This window comes from Homo sapiens, chromosome 18 (assembly GCF_000001405.40).
Source record: "Homo sapiens chromosome 18, GRCh38.p14 Primary Assembly".
In the NCBI taxonomy this organism is placed as follows: Eukaryota; Metazoa; Chordata; class Mammalia; order Primates; family Hominidae; genus Homo; species Homo sapiens.
This window is the reverse complement of record NC_000018.10, coordinates 41,463,636-41,469,656: the sequence shown is the minus strand read 5'-3', so window position 1 is coordinate 41,469,656 and position 6,021 is coordinate 41,463,636. Positions and strand designations below refer to the sequence as shown.

At 40.1% G+C, this 6,021-nt stretch overlaps 1 annotated feature.

The window, feature by feature from the left end:
• Positions 4,923–5,471: an enhancer, noted in NCBI's record as "OCT4-NANOG hESC enhancer chr18:39044150-39044698 (GRCh37/hg19 assembly coordinates)". NCBI's record gives its function as "activates a minimal SCP1, AML or CMV promoter by ChIP-STARR-seq in primed H9 embryonic stem cells {active_cell/tissue: H9 hESC(primed)}" and the evidence as "EXISTENCE:reporter gene assay evidence [ECO:0000049][PMID:30033119]".

Here is a 6,021-nt window from a genome sequence, read left to right as displayed (position 1 = left end):
AAGAAAGGACCTGGGTAAATACATTTGAACCAACATATTGGCAATTAAAACCTTAGTTAATGTTACTCTCTGACAAATAGTTGCATCTTAATAAAAGGTAGCAAATTAAGATTTGGAGTTTCAGTAGCAAACAAGAAAAAATAAAATGAGGCATCCATGACTGATTAGGCTATAGGACTCTCAAATTCTGGTCTCCAGATTCCAAGATTAGAAGGCTGATTTTAGTCCTGGGTGAAGGACATTTAGGAAGAGACTGTGGATACAAAAGAGCTGAGGGTGTGCACAGAATGCTGGGTACTCAGGCATTTCGAAGTCAGGAGATGGGGAAGAGGCTTGAGAATTAGCAGATAGCATGGCGGGAGAAAAACCAGGGTATTGATCCAGAGTTGCTCCACATCCACATTTCTACCTGCTCAACTAGAAACCACTCTGAGGCTTGCAGAAGTTAGCATGCTGAAAGCAGTTTATATGTTCTTACTCTTTCATCCTCATCATAATCAAAGGCACCTCTGGTTCATCTTTTTACTATAAGCTATCTGCTCAATCCTTCCTTAATATTTCAGCTAAGAATTGAGATATTTTCAATTATTTAAGTTATGTTGGAATCAGAGATATTGTTATCCTACCTTGGAATCTATTTTATGTTTCCTTATGACCTCCTCACCACTTTTCATAGTCTAATAGTTAAAGCTTGAGATTTGGAGTCAAATGATCTGTGGGGTTTGGGCAAGCTGATCCTCCAGTTTTCATCTATAGTGGAAATATGAGATACGTCACATTATTCTGACTATTGAACACTTAAGAAGGAAAAGCATTCCAACAATGTCTGACACATCAGCAATATTGCCCAGGGGTCTGCAGTCAGCATCTGGGGTTGGGGACACCTCCACCTGGAGCCCCAGGAGGCCAGAGACACCATAGCATAGATTGACTGATGGTGTATATATTGTGCTTCTAATGTCATCAGGGGAAAAAATAGTCTTCTAGAAGGGAGAATAATATTACAAAGGAAGAAAAGCAGGCTGGGCGCCGTGGCTCATGCCTGTAATCCCAGAACTTTGGGAGGCCGAGGCGGGCAGATCACAAGGTCAGGAGATCGAGACCATCCTGGCTAACATGGTGAAACCCCATCTCTACTAACAATACAAAAAAAAAATTAGCTGGGCATGGTGGCGGGCGCCTGTAGTCCCAGCTACGCGGGAGGCTGAGGCAGGAGAATGGCGTGAACCTGGGAGGCAGAGCTTGCAGTGAGCTGAGATTGCACCACTGCACTGCAGCCTGGGCAACAGAGTGAGACTCCGTCTCAAAAACAAAAAACAAAAACAAAAAACGAAAAAAAAAAGAAAGAAAAAAGAAAAGCAGCCCATAGGTTGTAATTGCACTTTCTATAAAGAACATCCTACCCAAAAAACCATATTCTATTTTAATAGATGTGTTAAAGCTATTCAAAATGTTAACAAAAAGCATCAGAACCAAGCCATGTAGATTGCTGGAAAATTAATTAGCCTCAGGAGAAGATAACTACAGAGAAAGTGGAAGTTGCCATGATCACTTGAGGCAATTATTGTGTGAAGGGGAAAAGGTTATTTTTTTTCTATCAATTGGTAAAAAGTGAGCAAACTTTGGCTCAATGGGAAAAAAAAAAAAACTTTGTCCACCTTATGAAATAAAATTGTAAAATTTCATTGCTAGAAGCAAACTCTGAAATCACATTAGCTTATCTTCTCAATTGACTTGTGAGATGACTGAGGTCAGGTTGGGTTTAGTGACTTTCACAGAGTCACACAGGAGGCATACAGAATCGGAAAACATGCCTTGACTCCCTGCTCCATTGCTCTCTAGCTATAAAACCTTATTTCCTTTGTTCTACTTTCAGGAGCCCTGAGAGAAGCTGAGGGCTTCAAGCAATGAGATTTGAGCCTACCTCCCTTCATCAAAAGTGCAGCTAGAAAAACTTGGAGAAGCAACCAGAACGGGAGTTGGGAGGGTAATACTTTTACATCAAAACAACACTAGCTTTATTGGCTGTAATAAGAGCAAAGTATGTAAGTAGAAATGATATTAATCTGTCATGCATATCACTTCTCAAGTGGTTCCTCAACAATAGTGTTAATCAAGCTTTGCCCTACTTTTATCGGAAACCTGGTGAAGAATAGCTTTGACATTTATCAGACATAGGACACTAAGAAAATTGCCATATGTATAAATAAATTTATGCCTTGAAAATGTTTGTGCCATGCTCTGGGAAAGGGGGTCAGGAACAAATGAGAGGGTAGAGGTAGAAGGGAAAGGTCTGCAGAATGTGGAGGTGAGAAGGAAAGAAGAAAAGGGTTGGGCATGGAGGGAGGTAACATCAGGGCTAAACCTAATAGGCCTGGGGAGACTCCAGAGATTCAGGCAGTTAAGTTTCTCTCCTTTTTTTTTTTTCTGGTGTTCTCATTTTCATTTGGGTGGCTTTGGGCAAGTCTTTCTTAATCTCAGATGGTGCTAACACTTTCATCCAACTGAGGAATCAATAACATGACAGGCTTAAAAGTGTTTTGCTAACTATAAAGTGAAACACTAATGTTATTTAGAGCAAGGAAGAAAAAGTAGAGAGCATCTAATAACTTACAATGCTATTATGGTAAAAAAAAAAAAAGTTTGTCCACAGGATACACAAAGATGAATGAGTAAAAAGTGATTCATCAATTATCCCAACCTAGAAAGACTCAGCCAAGGATGGACAAAATACTAAATTCCTCTCTTAGCTATATATGAAATAGGTCAGGGAGAGGGTTTATTTTACTGCTCTCCTTCTTATAAATGTGGGGTTCAGAATTGAACAGTTGTTCCATCAACCATGACCCTAAAACCTGGGTATGCTAGGAATCTAGGAGAAGAGATTCAAATGTATTTTCGCTTGGATATAAAAATGGGGAGGAAAAGCCACAGTGGTGACATGTCATTTTGCATACCTCAGAATTCCAGAGATCCCTAGCTTTTGATTCTGTGCAGGCTCTCTGTGGTACTGGCTGTATCAGCTGCTCTTAACCATGAACCAGAACATCTTGGAGAGGAGCTGCTAAGTGCCTACTGAGTCTGTAGCATGGAAAACATGTCTGCAACGTTAATGGAGAGCTCCGGTTTCTGGGGCTGAGAGATTTCAATCACTGATATTGTCAGTGAGTGAGGGTGGCGGGGGCCATGGTGTATGCTTGTCTGGAATAAAGAACATCAGTTTTGAAAAAAAAATCAAAAAACAAAAACAAAAACAACCTTGCTAAGTAGGTGCCAGGTGTGGTTGTGAGCCATTAGTAGGTGTGTAAGCGGACTGGAGCTGGGCCGACTTCCTCCCACGCAACAAGGAGCCCTCCTGCAAGGCCAGGCAGCTCACCACAGCACCACTGCTCAGAAACAGGAGGTTAATTAGCCCAGCACTTAATGAGAGCGTCTGGAGGAACTGTTAAGAAAATACTAAAAAATAAATAAGATGGAGTAACGATGGAAGGAAGGCATAGACATGCTCCGAAATGGCTGGTAGAAGAAATAATATGGCTGAGACAAATTGAGAATGACTGAGCAGCTGAAGCCTGGCCCCAGTGCTGCTTAAGGGGCACCCTCCTAATGAACAAGCAGTGCAGAGATGGAGGAACTTATGAAGCTTGGCAGCTATGGTGGTGGTGAAGTGTGTGTGCATATGTGTGTGTGTGTTGGGGGTAGGGTAGAATGGGAGATAGAGTTTCTTTTCATTTTAAGGACTTTGGAATCACAAGACTTCTAAGTCAAAGAAATTATTATCTTCTATCCCTAGGATCATTTCGATTTATTTCCTATTAAGCTTGGCACTTATCAAAAATAAATATTTGTGGAATAAATGAGTGGATTAAAAAAATGAGTTTTGTTAATTCAATGCCATGATTTCATGGCAGTTGTTTTCCAACCATGCTCTGAAAAGTCTGAGAGTTCCATGGAGATATGTCAGGAAACTCCACGAAATTGTTGGCAAACTGCTTAGATGAGTATATGTCTCTTCAGAGAAGTATTTCAAAGTCCAAACACTCAGCAGGGCCTGATTTAGAACTAGGAGTGTAAATGAGCCAAATTTCAGCCTGGCTATCCTAGCCCAAGGTCACAGGGAGAGTTGGTAGCTGAGTTGAGGCTTAAGTCAAGAACTTCTGACTTCAATTCCAGTGCTCTTTCCAATTCGCCATGCTTAAGGCTGCATAAATTTCAGAAGGTTGGGCCAAATAATACATCAAATGTTCATGCAAAATTGTCAGTGCCTTGGAAATGCAACAAAACTTGAGGGGGAAAAATAAAAAATTTAGCCAGTTTTTCAGGGAAATGATTGTCCAAAAATGAGGACTTAGACAATAAACAAAGTCAGGACAGAAAACCCAGTAAAATGGCACACACATAGCATTATCAAAGAGATCACAACGCTGTGAAATCCTACTCTTGATCTGAGCTACTGTTCTTTGAGGTAAGTAACATTATCCCAACACTATAGTCTGAAGGCTAGTATCCTCTCAAAATTTATATGGTGGACCCAAATACCTAATATAGTTAAAAGGTGGGGCCTTTGGGATATAATTCGGTCATAAGGGCTCCACTCTCATAAATGGGATTAGTGTACTTATGGAAGAGTCTCAAGTGAGCTCTCTTGCCTTCTTTAATCATAGAAGGATGTAGCAATAAGGCATCATATTTCAAAAAGAGAGCAAACCTTGCCCAGAAACCAAATCTGTAGGAGAATTGATCTTGGACTTTCCAGCCTCCAGAACTGAAAACAATACTATTCTGTTGTATAAATTATCCAGTCTGAGGTATTTTATTATAGCAGCAGGAACAGACTAAGACACCCAATTTACAGGTAAGAAAGTTGAGGCTCTGCGAGATGAAATAACTCAACCAAGGTCACAGTGCTAGGAAATGGCAGACCCTGAATTCAAACTTAATCCTATCAAATATCAATATCTTCAGTTCCACTGAGTGGAATAAATGAGCAAAATCTCATTGTGAGATAATTAATAAAGTTGAAAAACAAATGGGCAAAATAATCAGAAAATACTGACAGATACTGTGGTGACAATGAGAGCCAAAGCTGTCGATCTCCACACTCTGTCTGGGCACTGAGAACTGAAACCACATTTTATCACCTACAATAGCATGACTGTGCCATTTTTCTGTCTCTGTTAGCTTGTCTTTGTTATTGCTATTTCTTCATTAGCATGGCTTTATTCTTTCAAAAGTCTCTTGCCTGGGCAAATATTTTGATTGTTCATTACAGGAACTTCCTGAAAGACTCAATTCTTCAATGGAAAACATCAACACTTTGTTCTCCCAAATTATTTGAATTCCTAACTCAAAATATTCACTGTGCTATTTCCACAAATCCTGGACAGTTTTATTACAATCCTTACCCAAATGTAATCAAACTCCAACTTTGAAAGATTTGCCTAAAATCAATAGTTTTTAAGCTTATCTTCTCTCCACAAGACACTGACAAAGTGTTGCAAAGTGGTGTTCTTCCTTACAATAATAAGCAAATAATTAGGGTTTTTTCTTACTAAGAGGTTGTGTTGGTAATATTTGGGGAGCCAGCTTTTGACAAAAAATCAGCTTTGGAAAGCATCCAAATGCCAAAATTCCCTCATCCTCACCTCTCAAACAGAGAAGGAAATGAGGAATCCAGACCTAGAACACCAATAAACAGAGCTTTCAAAAGACTCCACTGCTCTGCCGAGAATATTTAAGTTCAGAACAAGGGCCAAGTGGTCTGTTGTCTTTACCCTTTTCTCCTAAATACAATAGCTCCTTCTGCAGTCAGAGTTGAAGTCAATGCTGTTGGGGAGGAAGAGTAATATCAAGTAACATCAAGAAGCCAGAGGCAAAAGGAGGAAGTCAGAGGACCACCTCATGTCAAAGCCGGGAAGACAAGAGAGTTTAATAGTGCTACTGGGGTTGGCATACTGTTCTCTTAGGCTTATAATGTCATAGTGGTGAAGTGGGGGAAACAGATGCAGAAGTCAATTTCTA